General features: G+C 40.4%; 1 protein-coding gene across 4 annotated transcripts in view; it reads left to right on the top strand.

Moving 5' to 3' along the window:
• AMFR (autocrine motility factor receptor) overlaps positions 1 to 18,921 on the top strand; it is a 64,094-nt gene that overhangs the window by 4,266 nt on the left and 40,907 nt on the right. For all 4 annotated transcript variants that reach the window (NM_001144.6, NM_001323512.2, NM_001323511.2 and 1 more), the window contains exons 2-7: positions 6,936 to 7,028; positions 11,692 to 11,856; positions 13,164 to 13,316; positions 16,036 to 16,076; positions 16,239 to 16,371; positions 18,162 to 18,295. In NM_001144.6, coding sequence (NP_001135.3) covers positions 6,936 to 7,028; positions 11,692 to 11,856; positions 13,164 to 13,316; positions 16,036 to 16,076; positions 16,239 to 16,371; positions 18,162 to 18,295 — 719 coding nt within the window. The remainder of the gene's footprint in view (positions 1 to 6,935; positions 7,029 to 11,691; positions 11,857 to 13,163; positions 13,317 to 16,035; positions 16,077 to 16,238; positions 16,372 to 18,161; positions 18,296 to 18,921) is intronic.

The following is an 18,921-nucleotide window of genomic DNA, read 5'->3' as shown; positions in this document are numbered from 1 at the left end:
ATTATTATAAAACTTAAGGGCTGGGTTCAGTGGTTCACACCGGCAGTCTCAGCAGTTTGAGAGGCGGAGGCTGAGGCAGGAGGTGGAGGATTGCTTGAGGCCAGGAGCTGCCCAGGAGTCTGGGCAACATAGTGAGACCCCCTGCTCTACCAAAAAAAAAAAAAAAATTAGTCACCATTATAATTATGTGAAAATAGGCTTTTTAAAATAAGAGTCAGCCAATTTTTCTCTAAAGTGCTCTCAGATGGTGAATATTTTAGGCTCTGCAACTTCCTTATTTAATTTGTTTTACAACCCTTTAAAGATATAAAATACCTGCTTCTAAAATTCTAAGAGCAAGACATGTAAATGGAGAAATAGAAATATGAAACTACTGTCAAGGTTCTGACTTAATTATGCAAATTAAGTGTAGTGGCCTGTGCTGTAGTCCTAGCTGCTTGGGAGGCTGAGGCAGGAGGATTGCTTGAACCCAGAAGCTCAAGGTTACAGTGAGCTATGATTGTGCCACTGCACTGCAGTTTGGGCCAGAGTGAGACTCTGGTCTCAAAAAAAAAAAACAAAACAAAATTAAGAGCTGAAAGTGACTTCCTAGGTTTTAGTCTTTATGAGTTGACTATTTCAAGGTATATGAGGGAAAAATGTTAGCTCCAGAAATGTTGGGGCAGCTGAAGGAAAAAAGACTAAACTTGTGAATAATTGGATGTGAGCCTAGATAAATTAAAAATAAAAGGAATGTCTTCCAGGTGAGGGAGAAGGGGACTGCTATTTGATCACCTCCTAGGTATGCTTTGCGTGCGGACTCTCGTCTATTTCCCTAGTCTTGTTAAAGAAGGAACACAGTTATCATCTATGTGATGAAGGGGAGTGTGTGCATGTTTGTATTATGTGTTTGTTTCTGGGAGCCTGCAGAGAGGTAACAATACGTGAATTGTCCTTAAAGGGAGGAAACCACCAAATGGTAGGGGGCGCAGGGGAGTGGTGCTGGTGTAGGCAGGAGTCTAAGAAATATCCAGATTGACCATGTCTTGGAATAGGTTCCTAGTAGTTTAATCCCATGTCTTTGCAAGGTCATAAATAAGCACCTGTTGGTGGCCAACATTTTACAGGGTCAAAAACACCTGTAGGGTTACATGGTGATAAATGCACCTTCCTCTCTTTTTCTCCCAGGCAGGCCTAACTATTTTATAATTTAGTTTCTGTTTTCTCCAGTAGAAGAGTAGAACCATTCTGGAAGGGACATTTTCCTGCTGGGCCTTGGAGTGAAGGGAATTAACTTTGAGCCTTGAGTAAGTCAGGGTTGCTGGGATCACTGCTGCCTGACCTGCTACACTCTGAACGGGGACAAGTAAAACTTGTTTTTATTTTGTGTAGACTGGAAAAAAAAGGCATTTGGTGAGTTTTTAAAAAATGACTTGAAGCTTTGACAGCACTATAGCTATGAGAAACATTCTGAAGTGTTTTAATATAGTTGAATTTTTTTTTTTTTGAGTCAGAGTCTTTCTCTGTCGCCCAGGCTGGAGTGCAATGGCACAATCTCGGCTCACTGCAATCTCCGCCTCCTGGGTTCAAGCAATTCTCCTGCCTCAGCCACCCAAGTAGCTGAGATTACAGGTGTGCACCACCATGCCCAGCTAATTTTTTGTATTTTTAGTAGACACGGGATTTCACCATGTTGGCCAGGCTGGTCTTGAACTGCTGACCTCAGGTGATCCACTAACCTTGGCCTCCCAAAGTGCTGAGATTACAGGCATGAGCCACCACGCCTGGCCATAGTTGAAATACTGTGCTGTAACAGGAGAACTTGTTTTGGTTTGTTACTCATCAGTTTGTCATCATATGGTGAGAAAAATAATGTGGAATTGCAGAACTAGTCAGGTTAGTTTAGTAGATTCTAAACTTTAAAAAAATTTTAAAAAATAGATAATGCATGCTCAGGGTACAAAAGTTAAGGGGTACAGGCCTGGCATGGTGGCTCACACCTGTAATCTCAGCACTTTGGGAGGCCGAGGTGGGAGGATCACCTGAGGTCAGGAGATTGAGACCAGCCTGACCAACATGGTGAAACCCGTCTCTACTAAAAATACAAAAATTAGCCAGGCATGGTGGCAGGTGCCTGTAATCTCAGCTACTTGGGAAGCTGAGGCAGGAGAATCGCTTGAACCTGGGAGGTGGAAGTTGCAGTGAGCCAAGAATGCGCCGCTGCAGTCCAGCCCGGGCGACAGAGTGAGACTCTGTCTAAAATTAAAAAAAAAAAAAAAAGTTAAGGGATACAGAAGTGACATGCAGTGAAAAGTAGATCTCTCTCTCTCCCTGTTACCTGCTTCTCTCTTCCAGAAATGGCAATTATCAAATTCTTGTAATAAGTACTGTTGTTAAGTAGGAGACTAAGAAATACCCAAATTGATCAAGTCCTTGACAGTTCACACCTACATATTATACAAACGTGTGTGCACATATTTCCTTTTTTTTTTTGAGACGGAGTCTCGCTCTGTTGCCCAGGCTGGAGTGCAGTGGCGCGATCTCGGTTCACTGCAAGCTCCGCCTCCCAGGTTCACTCCATTCTCCTGCCTCAGCCTCCTGAATAGCTGGGACTACAGGCGCCCACCATGTGCCCGGATAATTTTTTGTATTTTTAGTAGAGATGGAGTTTGACTGAGTTAACCAGGATGGTCTCGATCTCCTGACCTCGTGATCCGCCCGCCTCGGCCTCCCAAAGTGCTGGGATTACAGGTGTGAGCCAGTGCGCCTGGCGTTTTTTTGTTTTTTGTTTTTTTTTGAGATGGAGTCTCACTCTGTCACCTAGGCTGGAGTGCAGTGGCATGATCTCGGCTCACTGCAACCTACGCCTCCCGGGTTCAAGCGATTCTCCTGCTTCAGCCTCCTGACTAGCTGGGATTACAGGAGAGCACTACCACCCCTGGCTAATTTTTGTATTTTTAGTAGAGATGGGGTTGCACCATGTTGGTCAGGCTGGTCTTGAACTCCTGACGTCGTGATTCTCCCTCGTCAGCCTCCCAAAGTGCTGGGATTACAGGCATGTTCCACTGTGCCTGATTCAGGGATTTATTTTATTTTAGTTTACTTTTTTTAAGCAGTTTTTTTTTTTTTTTTTGAATCAGAGTCTCACTCCGATTGCCCAGGCTAGAGTACAGTGATGCTATTTGGGCTTATTGCAGCCTCAACCTCCCTGTGTCTAGGGTGATTCTCCCACCTTAGCCTCCCAAGTAGCTGGGACTACAGGCACACACCACCATGCCTGGCTACATTTGTTGTGTTTTTAGTAGAGATGGGGTTTTGCCATGTTGCTCAGTCTGGTCTCGAACCCCTGGACTCAAGCAACTCACCCACCTTGGCCTTCCAAAGTACTGGGATTATAGACATGAGCCAGTGCTTTTAAATGAGGAATGCTCCAGTTATGTTTCTTTCAGTATAGGTTGAGAATACTTTATCCAAAATGCTTGGGACCCGAAGTTTTGGATTTGGGATTTTTTTCCTGGATTTTGGAATATTTGCATATACATAATGAAATATTTTGGGGATGGGACCCAAATGTAAACATGAAATTCCTCTGTTTCATATACATCTCATTCATACACATACCCTGAAGGTAGTTTCATTTTTCCCTTAGGGACACTGAGTAAACTGTTGTAAGTCTGCATTTTGACTGCGACTCGTCACATGAGGTCAGGTGTGGAATTTTCCACTTGTGACGCCATGTTGGTGCTCAGAAAGTTTTGGATTTTGGAGCATTTCAGATTTTGGATTTTTGCATCAGGGTTGCTCAATTGTATTTACAATTTTTCAAGCCTTTGTTAACTGAAGTTGAGAAGTTATATGTATGACACAATATTATTTATTTATTTATTTGAGACAAGGCCTCACTATGTTGCTCAGGCTGGAGCAGTACAGTGGTGCAATCACGGTTCCCTGCAGCCTTGACCTCCTGGGCTCAAGAGATCCTCCCACCTCAGCCTCCTCAGTAGCTGGGACTACAGGTGCACACCACCCCACCCGGCTAATTTTTGTATCTTTTGTGGAGATGGGGTTTCACTATGTTGGCCAGGCTGGTCTTGAACTCCTGAGTTCAAGCAATCCCCCCACCTTGGCCTCCGAAAGTGCTGGGATTATAGGTGCGAGATACTGTGCCAGGTCAGTATTTGTAATTAACATATAATCATTATAATTAAGGTATTTTTCTATAAATAGACATGGAATAGTTATTAATAATCATTAAGGTGTTTTAAAAAACTTTGCTTATAATCTTAAAATAAGGATTGCTTTCAATCCTTTGTAGCTTTGGTTACAAAGTTCACAACAGCTTATCTACTTTTTACATAAATTCCCTTTTTAGTATCAGTATACTCAGACTTTTTTTTTTTTTTTCCTGGTTAGCCATGTTAATTTTCAAATCTTCATTTAAATTAAAATAGGAAGTGGTTGTTCTATGGGTGATGGGATTATAAGAGACTTTTACCTTTTTTTGGATAAATTAAAGATACACATTTTTTATACCTTATTTGAATTCAAAGACTTATTTAGGCTGGGCGCAGTGGCTCATGCCTGTAATCCCAGTACTTTGGGAGGCCGAGGCAGACGGATCACTTGAGCCCAGGAGTTCGAGACCAGCCTGGGCAGCATGGTGAAACCATGTCTCTATAAAAAAATTCAAAAATTAGTGTGGTAGCTCACACCTGTAATCCCAGCTACTTGGGAGGCTGATACAGGAGAATAGCTTGAACCTGGAAGGCCGAGGTTGCAGTGAGCGGAGATTGCACCATTGTGCTTTAGTTTGGGCAACAGAGTGAGACTGTCAGAAAAAAAATAAATAAATAGACTTTTATTTAAAGAGTTTGAGAAATAGTAAATAATACTTTATTTTTTATTTGATAACTTAAGATGTGTGTGACAGTACTGTTTTGAATAGAGAAATGTTTAAGTGACCCTAAATTTGTTTTTTTTCTCCATCATTACTCTCGTAGTAGCCTGCTTGGCCTTCTGTTAAATTGCTTACCATGCTCTATCTCTTGTAGATTCTAAAAGCTCTTTGAGTTTAGGGTTCAGAGCTCCCTCATTTTTCTGATTTCCCACATGCCTCGAACAAGTGCTAAATGTGTTGCATTTATTTTTTAAATTCATATGACTGACTACATGTAAAAACGGGAAGAATTATTTTAAGAAATTGCGTCGTAATAAAGCTGGGGCATGTTTGGCTGGGGGATGTGACATGAGGGGTTGTGGTTTTGTCTTATGACATTTCTCTTAGTTAATGTGGCTGAGATTGGTTAGATCACAATGAAGGTGAGTCTTTTTAGCATCTATTTCATCACCTTAAAAATGAACATTTCAAGTTACCTGAATTGTTTTTTCTTTTTAAAAAATTTTATATATTTTTCAGTAGGGGCAAGGTTTTGCTGTGTTGCCCAGGCTGGTCTCAAATTCCTGGCCTCAAGCAGTCCTCCCACCTTGGTCTCCCAAAGTGCCAGGATTACAAGTGTGAGCCACCATGCTCCTGGTGATCTGGACCATTTTGAATAGGTCTGTTACACAGATTAGGATATTTGGGGCAACTAGTTTGGGCGTTTGTTCCTGGTTGTTTGAAGGATTTAAGTACCAAAACAGTTTATTTCTTTAGCAGAACTATTTTCGTTTCAATCCTTTAAAAATGTATTACATACTTCCTTGGCCCATTAGGCAGACAGAATAGAACTAAATTTAATCATTTGTAATGAATCAGGGCTGCCCTTAAGTGTTCTCCCAAAGGAGGGATGGCATGAGGTACTAAACAGACCCTGAGGTGATCTCAGGGATCTTGCTTTCTTAAATTACTCTCCTCTATCCCCTTTCTTTCTTCTTTAAAATTATCATTTGCTTTTAAAAGTAGAGGGAAGAATGACTTGGCAAGGGTAATATGGTAAACGTAGTGAATCAGAGGCAGAAGCAGCTTTACATTGAATTGGAGTTCCTTTTCATTTGCTCTCAACAAGTCATCTGTACTGTTTTTATCAAGGTCCTTTTGGCTTTTTGGAGTCATTCAGAGTAATGTGATACCCCACACTAATCTCTGGGTTGGGGACAGCCAACTCTTCCATTTTGTAAGCATTAAGATTTGGCGTTTAGGTGTAAGGATATTCATCATTTAGAGTTTTGTTTTGTTTTGTTTTGTTTTTCAAGTTTTCTCATAGACTGTTGAAGAAGGCCTTGGTTTTGCATTGGTATCCCCAGGTTGCCTTTCATCTCTTGGCCCCTCTCGCCGGTTTTCTTTTCCTTCTGTTTAACCCATTCCACCCTGCTGCAGTGCCACAAAACCTTTACTTCAAAGCCAACACCAAGCATGGAGAACATTTATCTTTTGGTTGAAAGATTTTTCCATTCCAATAAATATTAAAATATTCTCTCTGTATATATATATTTATATTATTAGTTCCTTATGATGAGACTTTTTTGTGACCATCCACACTCCTACCCCTACCTCCTATTTGTTTGGCAGGGCAGAATCTCTGGGTGCTGGGTTTTACTATTCACGGTAACTTCAATTTCTAGAACAGTTTTCTTCAAGGCTGTCAAAATAATGTCGGAAATGAGGTACTTGGGAAGGACCTGCAGTTTACGAGGTTAATGTAGTTTTGCACATACAGTACAAAGTATACACACAATTCAGTTAAGGATGAAAGATAAGGTGGCCTGCTGGAGGGTGCGTATTGGGACAAGAACTGTGACTTAGCTGGTGAGCTGGTGCCTCTCTTTCCGGTCCTCATCCCTAACACCCACTCCCCAGAACAGTGTGCCTTTTCAGATATTCCTTATCTTGCATTGGGAGAGAACCAGAAAGGCTCAGTCACTGGAAATGATGGCTGAATTCCTAATATGAGATTTTTAGAGCTGCTTTTATTTTTCAGCAGGAAGAAATAAACTTCCTTTCTCTGATTTGTTTACAGGTTCTAGTAAATACCGCTTGCTGTGTTTTGATGTTGGTGGCTAAGCTCATCCAGTGTATTGTGTTTGGCCCTCTTCGAGTGAGTGAGAGACAGGTAAGTCTACACTGAAAGGATGGATTCTTGTGACTAGATTTTTTTTTTTAAACTTTGTATTATGATTTCAGATGTGTGGAAAAGTTCCATGAATACTACAGAAAACTCCTATATACCCTTTATCCAGATTCGCCAGTTGTTAATATTTTGTTCCATTTGCTTTAATCTTCACTTTTTATTTATACATACTTTTTTTTCTGATTCATTTGAGAGTAAGTTGTGGACATCATTACCCCTTTACCCCTAAATACTTCAGTTTGTATTTTCTAAGAGCAAAGGCATTTTTACAGCACAGTGATTAAAATTAGGAAATTTAACATTGAAAAAATACTTTGTCTAATCCACAGTCCATATTCAGTGTAGCCAAGTTGTCCCAATATTGTTTTTTATAGCTGTTTTTCTTCATGACTTTTAGGAATGTCGTTTTTAAAGAAGCCTAGATTTGTTTTATTTTGAATGATCATAAATGTCACTCTGTAGAATGTGGGTTCTTTTCCAAAAGAATTTACCAAGATAATTTTCTCTGTGGGAAGGTGAATTAAGAATCATTGTTCTAAAAGCATAAAATTAGGAGATTTGTTCTTGTTTTGGGTGAGATTGTCTGACATTGGAAAGTGACTCAGAATGGGCAGGGGATGCTTTCAATGAAGAATTACGCCACAAGCATACTGTATAGATTGGCAGTTCGCTGAGGATTTGAGTGGGTAGGGTGTAGAATAATTTTTTTTTTTTTTTTTGAGTCGGAGTCTTGCTCTGTCACCCAGGCTGCAGTGCAGTGGCGCAATCTCAGCTCACTGCAACCTCTGCCTCCCGGGTTCAAGCACTTGTCCTGCTTCAACCTCCCAAGTAGCTGGGAATACAGGTGTGCACCACAGCTAATTTATATATTTTTAGTAGAGACAGGATTTCGCCACGTTGGCCGGGCTGGTCTCAAACTCCTGACCTCAGGTGATCCGCCTGCCTTGGCCTCCCAAAGTGCTGGGATTACAGGCGTGAGCCACTGTGCCTGGCATGGTATGTTTTAAAGTAAAAATTTAGAACTGGCCTTCAAAATCACAACATAAGAACAAAATTGTGTTTTATTCTATCTTATCCCAGTGATAAAACACAGGAACCTACTATATGAAAAGCACAACAGCAGCTTTACTTTATGTTCAGAGTGTTCCATTCTCTCCTTACCTACCCTTTTCAACCCAAATTTCCTTTTATAAAATCAGCTGAAGTCCTAGTTTAGAGCTGACATGTATTACTTGGTGGTTGAGCCCTTGGATGCCATTGTGAACAGGACTATTTTGTATTCTCAGAGATTTTTCATTTTCAGCACTTTCTCCAGTATCGACTCTAGAGGTCTCCCAGATAGGTTGTAAATGCTGCCTTTTTTTTTTTTTCTTTTGAGACAGCGTCTTGCTCTGTCACCCAGGCTGGAGTGCAGTGGTGCGATCTCCACTCACTGCAGTCTCAACCTCCTGGGCTCAAGCAGTCTCCTCCCATCTCAGCCTCCTGAGTACCTGAGACTACAGGCATGTGTCACACCTGGCTAATTGTTTAGGTGTTTGTAGAGACGGAATTTCACCATGCTGCCCAGGTTGGTCTCAAACTGTTGAGTTCAAGCAGTCCGCCCGCCTCAGCCTCCCAAAGTGCTGGAATTATAGGTGTGAGCCACTTCTACTGGCTTAAATGCTTCTTTTGATACTTCTTCAAGTTTCTCTTCAAATTTTTTATTTGTGGACCAGAAATTGGTCAGGCCAGGCAGGCTTGGTGGATTGATCTGGCACCAGTGGGCTTTATATACTTTCTTTTCCCTAAAAGGTTACTTCTATCAGGTTGAAATTTATAGAAAGTATAACCTTGGAGTATTTTAGAGATTTTTTAACTAGATCCAGAGGTAATTATAATGAGCATATTTCTTATCCAGCTCCACTTTAATTTTTTTCAGCATCGATCGCATCTTCCCTGCTGTTCTGTGTTGGTTTATTTATGTTTAATGTCATCCAGTAGCATCAATTAGGAACCATTTTGAGTTAGAAATCTCTAGGATTGACATGGGTTTGCTCTTGGGTGCTTAAAGTTCTAGAAATAGAGTAATGCTAGAGGCAAAGACATCGAATATCTAAAATGATTAAAATGTTAAGTGGAGGTTTAGAGCAAGGAAGCTTTTTGATGCGTTTTTAAGTGCTTAGTGCCTAGTATGGCACTTGTCTAACCATTTCACATATATTATGTATAATTCCCCCAACAATTCTATGAGGTATATGCTGTTATTATAAGACCTATTGTATGGATGAGGAAACTAAAGCACAGGGATGTTAAGTGACTTTCCCAAGGTCACACAGAAACTAAATGGCAGAGCCAAGTGGCAGTGTCATTCAAAACCAGGGCACAAAATGTCCTAAGTTCACCTTGTACTTTCCCTGCACCAGGTCTGGAAACAGACATTTCACCAACGATTCCTAGTTCACGTTATTGGGCAATGATATTTAGAAGCCAAGCTGTATACTGGCTGAGTGTGCTCATTACCACTAGGGTGTCTCTGCCCTTTTGATGGATAGAATTAGGGCATACTCTATGATTTTTTTCCACTTTATTTTGTTCTCTACAAAAGATATCTGGTCAGAGTACAGTGTGTTTAAGTTCTCAAAATCTTTAAGGAGTCACGTTGTTAATTTGTAGTATATTTTGCTTTTTTGTGTTTATTTTTTGAATTTGTGAAACATTTACATGGTTCCAAATTACATATAAAAGCATTCTTTTGGGAGACCAAGGTGGGATCACTTGAGCCCAGGAGTTTGCGACCAGCCTTAGCAACAGAGGGAGGCCCCATCTCTGCAAAATATAAATATAAAAAACATTAGCCGGGCATGATGTCATGTGCCTGTAATCCCAGCTACTCAGAAGGCTGAGGTGGGAGGATCGCTTGAGCGCAGGAGTTTGGGGCTGCAGTGAGCTACTACTGGGCCACTGCACTCCAGCCAGGATGACAGAGTGAGACTCTGTCTCTTTAAAAAAAAAAAAAAAAGTATACTTAGAATCATGCTTCCATTCTTATCCTCTTCAGTCAGTTCTCCCTGACCCCCCTAGACGGCTTGATAGTCTATTTTAACATGTGGGGGAACTAGACCCTCCTTATTGCTCTCCTATTTCAGGGTTAGTGAAGATTGTTAAAACTGGAAGCCCTCTGTGTAAAAGAGTACAGTGAAGCAAATATGCATACACACTGCCCATGGGAATGTACACTTACAGGACTGCTTTGGAAGTTAGGTAGATTTTACTATAAACCATAAAAATCTTTGCAATTTTTGATTTGACAGTGCTGAAGTAACTCATACAAAGATACATACAAAAATATTCATCACAATTTTTTTTTTTTTTTGAGACAGAGTCTTGCTCTGTTGCCCAGGCTGGAGTGCAGTGGCATGATCATGGCTCCCTGCAACCTCGACCTCCCAGGTTCAAGCAATTCTAATGCCTCAGCCTCCCAAGTAGCTGGGATTACAGGCTTGTGCCACCATGCTCAGCTAATTTTTGTATTTTTAGTAGAGACAGGATTTTGCCATGTTACCCAGGCTGGTCTCGAACTCCTGGGCTCAAGTGATCCGCCTGCCCTGGCCACCCAAAATGCTGGGATTTCGTGCATGAGCCACCACGCCCGGCCCTCATTATAATGTTTTTTTTGCGTGGTGAAAATTTTAAAACAGTTTCAGTGTCCATCTTTAGCCATTGAAACGGTATATTGGTATATTCAGAGAATATTCATTGACATTGTTAAGGTTCTAACAATACAATAGGTGAAAGAAAGCATTGTACAAAAAGTAATGTGTTTTGTACATAGGGAAAAGACAAGAAAATTCATAAAAATGTTAAGGCAGCATTTTTCATTTTCTTTGTACTTTTTATGCCGCCTTTATTATGGGCTGGCAAGTGGTTGTGTTGTGTTATTTTTTAATTTGAAGAATTTTTTTTACAAAGTCTAATCTTTTCTATTGTGTAAGAATCTGGAAGGTAGAAGTAGTAAAAATGATAGCCCTTGCCATTCTTTTTCATTGTGCATTAAAAATGTAAGCATTTTTTTCTTTTTTTTGAGAGAAGGTCTTGCTCTGTCACCCAGGCTGGAGTGCAGTGGCATGATGATGGCTCACTGTAGCCTTGACCTCCTGGGCTCAAGCAATCCTCCCACCTTAGCCTCCTGAGTAGGTGGGACTACAGGTGTGCACCACCATTCCCAGCTAATTTTTGTATTTTTTTTTTTGGTAGAGATGGGGTTTCCCCATGTTACCGAGGCTCATCTCAAACTCTTGAGCTCAAGCTGTCTACCCACCTCAGCCTCCAAAAGTGCTGGGGTTACAGATATGAGCCACTGCGCCTGGCCTATTTCTTAATATATAAGTTACTAAACTAATATCGCTATCCTTTGAATAGCTAACATTCCATAATTGATTTAGGGTTATAGTCCAAAGTTTACAGATTAGTTTCTGGGTGTCTTACCTCCATTCTTCAGATGGCTGCTTTTTTTTTTTTTTTTTTTTTTTCTGTTTTCTTGAGGACAAGTATTAGAAAGCCAAGTGCAGAATATATCTTCCATAGAAGCCGGCTTTTGTTATGGTAACTTCCCTCAAATGGGGTAGGTGTGATGGTACTCACCTTCATAAACATTTTTCTTTTTTAGCATCTCAAAGACAAATTTTGGAATTTTATTTTCTACAAGTTCATTTTCATCTTTGGTGTGCTGAATGTCCAGACAGTGGAAGAGGTGGTCATGTGGTGCCTCTGGTTTGCCGGACTTGTCTTTCTGCACCTGATGGTTCAGCTCTGCAAGGATCGATTTGAATATGTGAGTTTTTAGCCAAGCTTTTTGCTTGCTTAGTCACCACGTTTGCCAACTTTGAATTGTGTAATGTGAATGAGCCACAGCAGGCATGGTCAGGGTAGCTCTTCTGGGAAGACTTCTAGATCAGGCCCCCATTGCCTGTTTCTTGAAGAACTTTCTACAGCAGCCAAGAGATGCAGAATCGTTGTCTCCTGGGGAGCTTTCTTCCCAACCCCATAGTGTTTACTTACTGCTAACATGGGGTCACTTCACCTATGCAGACTGTTTTGTTCACAGTGCAAGGAAACCTTGATACATAAACAATAAAATCTGGTCTTTTCTAGATATTTTCTGTTCTAGTCTCCTTCTGTCTCTCCCAGCTTACTCTGGTTCGTGGAGCTCTTCTTTCTGAGTAGTTTATACTATTTCCACCCCGGGCCAGGACTGAATTAGCTCCCTCAGCTTCCTTGTTTGCGAAGTGAATCATTTTATGTCTGGTACAAGATCTGTCACTTGGTTTCAGATCATAGCTGTATGAGTGAACCTTCAACCCATTAGTGACCTGAAGTAGTCTCATGAGTCCCAGATAAATGTGCATCTACAGTGCTGCCCCTCAGTTAAACCCGCTCCAGGGCCTTGTTTTTCCCTGTCTTTACCCAGTCCACATGGACCTTGCACCTTGGTTTGAGTTAATCTCACTCTCACAGCCTTTATTTCTTTCACATTCAACCCTCATTTGAAGTCACAAACAGGAGCTTCTAACCTCCCAAACTGTTTTTTTTAATCTCCGCCTGTGACCTCAGGAGTTGCAGCTCTAGGCCTTCTTTTCAGACTGTTGCCTCTCCTTGCATAATGCTGACATCACGTTGTAGTAGTGGTAAACCTGTGCCTGGATTGCATTTCAATTGTGCTAGCCCTAATAGACTAGGAATGCCAATTTCAGAGAGGAGGACTAGAGCAAGATTGAGAAAGAAACAGAACAGAACAGGCACTGTCCTGAGTCCTGTTGAAGGTGAGAGGAGAGAGTTGTATACCCTCGGAACATTGCTTCTAGAGGTTTATAATCCCAGTGCTAGGAGGATCTTTGAGAGTAAGGGATGAAAATATAATGCATATTGTTATACTCAGTAAATTAAATGACACGGATCTCTAAATATCACCTCATGCTCATATTTGGGTTATTGGAGAATAGGACCATATAGTAATGGGATGCTTTTCTGTGCTTAGCACAGAACCCTAAGCAGAGAAGCCAAGATTGACCTTGAATTTCTCAGTGAAGTTTAACACTTCCATGAAGAAGAATGAGCAGTTTCCTACTGTGTGCATTTCAGCTTTCCTTCTCGCCCACCACGCCGATGAGCAGCCACGGTCGAGTCCTGTCCCTGTTGGTTGCCATGCTGCTTTCCTGCTGTGGACTGGCGGCCGTCTGCTCCATCACCGGCTACACCCACGGAATGCACACCTTGGCTTTCATGGCTGCAGAGGTGAGATACTGGATGCAGGACTTGCTCAGATTGTATTTCTGTCTGTTTTCAAGGAAGCTGGATGTTTGACAAGTTATTTTCACCCATGAAATGACAGGTGGATATTTGGTCTTTCATTTTAACAAGCATTTCAGTTCCTTTTTGTGTGTTGGGTACTGGTACTGAATGCTTTTGTGTGGTATTTTATGTAACTCTTTCTTTACGTAGGGTATAAAGATTTTACAAAATAATGAATAAACTGTACTCATCATTTTGAAGGAAAAATCTGGTCTATTCATGAATATTTTAAGATTTAAAAATTTTTCACTCTTTTAAACCTTTCTGAAAATACCAATTTCTGTTCAGTAGAAATAAAAATTCTCCAGCCTGGCCAATATGGTGAAACCCTGTCTCTACTAAAAATACAAAAAAAAAATTAGTTGGGCGTGGTGGCGCACGTCTGTAGTCCCACCTGCTTGGGAAGCTGAGGCAGGAGAATTGCTTGAACCCGGGAGGCGGAGGTTGCAGTGAGCAGACATTGCGCCACTGCACTCCAGCCTGGGTGACAGAGCGAGACTCCATCTCAAAAAAAAAAAGAAATAAAAATTGTTTGTATGTCCTTATATTTAATGGCTATATTTGCCTTTTCTTCAGGCCAAAGGCAAAATACTTTTATCTTACCCATAATTAGTATTATTAATTAAAAAATGAGATATTAGATAAACTGAAGCTAATTGGCTAATATCAAAACACTACATTTGAACTACTCATTGGGAATTTGGTAGAGCAGAGTTAAAGTTTATTTCTGTTTGATAGCATTCATTTTTGAGTACATTTAGTAGTGTAAGTAAAATTAGAAAAGAAACATTTAAATACATAATGTTAATTATCATATTATAATATTGTAATTAAAATACAATAGTCCTAATATAAATAATAAGATATGTAATCTTAGGTGAATACTTCTGTATATGAAAAATATACAACCGTATTTCGTCTTGACAGAAAATCTGTTGAAAAATCCATTTACACTGACTTATTTGCTTTAGATTTATTGCAAAGTTAGAATGATACTTATGTTTGCCTTTTTTTGATTCTCTAACTTTCAACTAATATAATATTATCCAAACTTTGAAAAGGGTATACCTAAAAATAAGCACATTTAACTTAGGCCCGTCAGCTCATACTATAGTATATACTTTTATTTTAGCTTGTTACTGTTTATTCTTTTAAGATAATTTATCATATTACAGATTTGATATTTTAAACTAAATCATTTCTTACATTCATAGTGTTTCTCTCTCCTGTAAAATATTTTTCACTTACAAATGGGAATTTAATCTAAAACATAAATAATGTAATAGTTTTATTCTACTAGATTAAGAGGACTTTTTTTCTTAATGAAAAATATCTTTTTTTTTTTTTTTTTTTTGAGACAAGGTGTCACTCTGTTGCCCGGGCTGGAGTGCAGTTGCTTACTGCAACTTCCACCTTGTGGGCTCAAGTGATCCTCTCATTTCCTTAGTAGCTGGGACCACAGGCATGAACCACCATGCCTGGCTAATTTTTGATTTTTTTGTAGAGATGGGGTTTTGCCATGTTACCAGGCTGGTCTTGAACTCCTGAGATCAAGCAGTCGGCCTGCCTCGACCTCCCAAAGTGCTGGGATTACAGGTGTGAGCCACTGTACCTGGCCGTCAATTTCTGTAATAAAAAAAATACCCTTCAAGACCAGCCTAGCCAACATAGCAAGACCTTGTCTCTACAAAAAAAAAAAAAAAAGCCATGAGAGACTTATTTTGTCCCTCTCCTCTCCTCCCCTCTCCTCTCTCCTCTCCTCTCTCCTCTCCTCTCTCCCCTCTCCCCCCTCCCCTCCCCCCTCTCCCCCTCTCCCCCCTCTCCCCCCTCCCCCTCCTCTCTCTCCCCTCTCCTCCCCTCCCCCCTCCCCTCTCCCCTCTCCCCTTCCACTTCTTCCCCTTCCCCTTCCCTTCTGACAGGGTCTGGGGTCTGGCTCTCTCACCCAGGCTGGAGTGCTGTGGTGCGATCTCTGCTTACTGCAGCCTCCACCTCCCAGGTTCAATCCATCCTTCCACCTCTGCCTCCCAAGTAGCTGGGACTACTGGCACGTGCCACCATGCCCACCTAATTTTTGTATTTTTTGTAGAGATGGGGTTTCACCATGTTGCCCAGGCTGGTTTTGAACTCCTAAGCTTGAGCAATCCTCCTGCCTCGGTCTCCCAAAGTGCTGGGATTAAAGGTGTGATGTGGCTGGCCTTATTTTGCTTTTGATTGCTTTCGTTCTTTTTTCTGCTGGTGGACAAAGGGAGTGCACAAAGCACTAGGGAGAGAGCAGGTCCTCGTGTCTAGGATAGCAGTACCTGAACTATACTTGGAGTTACAGCATCACCCTTCTAAGTAATCAGTGATAGTGACTTAATGCTGTGTGAAATAGAATTGATGGTCAGACTACCAGGGTAAACCTCAAGATTGTAGGGGGATTCCTGGGGGGTAGGTGTAATTGGTTGTCACCTATTAACAGGACTTTTCCTCAATAAAAGTTGGGTTTCTAGGTCATAAAAATATTTTACAGAAATTTGAAGCAGAGAAAATAAAATAATGGGTAAACTTGAACAATCTGCTTTTTAATTGAACTGAGAAATGTTTGTCTTTTATCATTTTATAAAAAGTTTGGCCTGAGCAATGCTACATTTTACTAAAAAGAAAATATCCTTTTTTATAGTCTCTTCTTGTGACAGTGAGGACTGCTCATGTGATTTTACGGTGAGTGAAATTGGGGAGGGAGGTGATGGAGGCCTACTCATACAGTTGATTTTAAGATGTAGCAGGTATGAAATATATAAAAATCGGACTAAATTACAACATGGTTAAACCAAATTCAGTAGTAACAGTAAATTACTAAGGTGTTTTCTCTCTTCATTACAGATACGTAATTCACCTCTGGGACCTCAACCACGAAGGGACGTGGGAAGGAAAGGGGACGTATGTCTATTACACAGACTTTGTCATGGAGCTCACTCTCCTGTCCCTGGACCTCATGCACCATATTCACATGTTGGTAAGTTTCCTCAGAAGGAGCTCTAACAGAGGGCAAGCCTTTCAGAATCAGGAACAGTAATGGTTTCTTCATTAAAAAATGAAACTTTAGAAATAAGATGTGGATGGACTACTTAAAGACTAAAAATGAATGTGGCTGCAAACCCTCCCTCTTTTTGCCACTGGGTGTAAGGCAGTGCCATGGAACTGCTTTGGCTGGTGCCTAACTCAGGAGGTGTTTGCTGTCCTGGGAGACTTAGTTAACTCTGCTGACCAAGTCAATAGATTATTCTTTTAGCATGAAATTAAGGAGCTGCCTTTCCCCATAGTTTCTATGGCTTTAAATATTTAGCAGGTACTTTGTAGGTGGTAATGGGAATTCCTGCAGTGTTAGCTACTTCACAGATTTATACATTTTCCATCTTTGTAATTAAAAAAAGTCTTTACACTTAATTCCTACATTCCTACTACCATCATTGTTTACATTTTACTTTGGTATGTTAGACGTTACGGTGTCGTAGATCTGCTTCATTGGTTGGCCCTTCAGTGATCTAATAATGGTGAGAATTAAAATAGTTGGTGGGCAATTTATTTAAATTATAAGCCTAGCAAGTAGCATTTTAAAATTATTGGGCTAGACGTGGCACATTTCTAAGTCTACTTTTTGAAAGAAACTTTGAAAACATACTTTTTAAAGAAAGTATGTAATTCTTTTTTTTAAAAAAGAGCCTCGGCTGGACGCGGTGGCTCATGCCTGTAATCCCAGCTACTGGGGAGGCTGAGGCAGAGAATTGCTTGAACCTGGGAAATGGAGGTTGCAGTGAGCTGAGATCGCGCCACTGTACTCTATCCTGGGCGACAGGGTGACACTCCGTCCCAAAAAAAAAAAAAAAGCCTCCCTCCCCCCTCAAAAAGGGGACAAACAAATGGCCAAAGATAACTGTTAAGATTTTTTATCTTCTTTTTTTAAATTTTTTTTCCTCATGCTTGTATTTTTTGTATTTAACTGCTTCTTTTTATGTATTTTTTGTATTTATGTATTTTGTATTTTTATGTATTTTGTATTTAACTGATTCTTTTTATGTATTTGAGTACATACATTCATAAATTGAGATCATATTTTAGACATATAGTTCTGTTCTTTAAAAACTAATGTATTATGAACATTTTCCTGTGCTAACATCAGTTCTTCTAAGCCATTTTAATACTTTCAGGATAAAAATATCATCAGATAGCTGTACCATGATTTAATAAACCGCATCCCACAATGGGTTATTTAGATTATATTTGGTTGTTTGCTATTTCACATTTTACATATTTTTTATCATGTATTAGTTTGATAAAGATAGTTATATCTTGCTTTTTTCATTTATCTAGTACTATCTTCCCATAATTGACCTTCAGAACTGTTATATATACAAATATAATAGTAATATGTAGTTATATAGTATAATAAGTGAAATTAATGACTATATAATTTTACATTACATGAGTTTACAACCTAACTGTTCTTCTGGGCATTTTGTTCATTTTCATATTTTCTGTTTTATAATTGCATGGATAGACATCTTTTTGCATAAAGCTTTTCCATTTCTGATGAGTTTCTCAGGAAAGATGACTGGCATTGGAGCACCTAGGCTGACGAGGATGTGCATTGTTTAGAGTAATGAGATAAATCTGTGTATTTCCTTTCTGAAAGACATTGCAGTTCACCATCACCAACAGTGAAGAGCTTCCGCTGCATACTGCGCCTTCATCACTAGCAAGTTCACGTTCGCTTTTACCGTGTGTTTTATTCTCTTTCTCTCTAAGTTATTTGGCAACATCTGGTTATCCATGGCCAGCCTGGTCATCTTTATGCAGCTGCGTTACCTGTTTCATGAGGTGCAACGTCGAATTCGTCGGCACAAGAACTATCTACGTGTGGTTGGAAACATGGAGGCCAGGTAAGGAAGCACAAGTTGATGTTGCCTAAGTTTACTCATTTTAGTTTTTTAATAACAGCAGATCCCAGAGTATGTCAGAATGTATGTTTGTAAACTGCTAATAGAGTGGTGGAGAGGAAAGGCTCTGGAGTCAGACTGCCCGGGTGTGAATCCCCACTTAGGTGCTGTGTGATTTGGGGCAATTTACTTCACCTCTAAATTAGGGATGAAAACAGAACCTTCTGCCTGAACTATTGGGAGAATTTGGTGAGATAATTCATGTACTTAGAATGGTACTGGGCAGATAGTGCTCAGTATTAGGCTCTTATTTGTCATGATTTTATTGTCATTATTATCAAATAGACACTTCATTGGGCTTCTACCCTGTTCATTTCCTGAAAGTGGGTCTCAGTTCTTTGCACATGCATGTTTACACACACATACTTAACCTCATTGAAGGAGGCACTTTTTTGCCAAGCTGGGGCTAAGCCACGCCTGGAGGTGCAAGATTAATGGGTATCCTCTTTGCACCCAGGGGGACAGCTTGGATCTCTTCTTTGTGGCCAGGGACACAGATTGGATCTCTGGGGGCCTTACTCCTCTGATTTGTCCGGATATGGTCTCCGAGGTCTTCACTAACAGCAGCC

This window comes from Homo sapiens, chromosome 16, assembly GCF_000001405.40.
Source record: "Homo sapiens chromosome 16, GRCh38.p14 Primary Assembly".
NCBI classification, from domain to species: domain Eukaryota; kingdom Metazoa; phylum Chordata; class Mammalia; order Primates; family Hominidae; genus Homo; species Homo sapiens.
The sequence above is the reverse complement of the archived record's forward strand: the minus strand, read 5'-3'. Positions and strand labels throughout refer to the sequence as shown.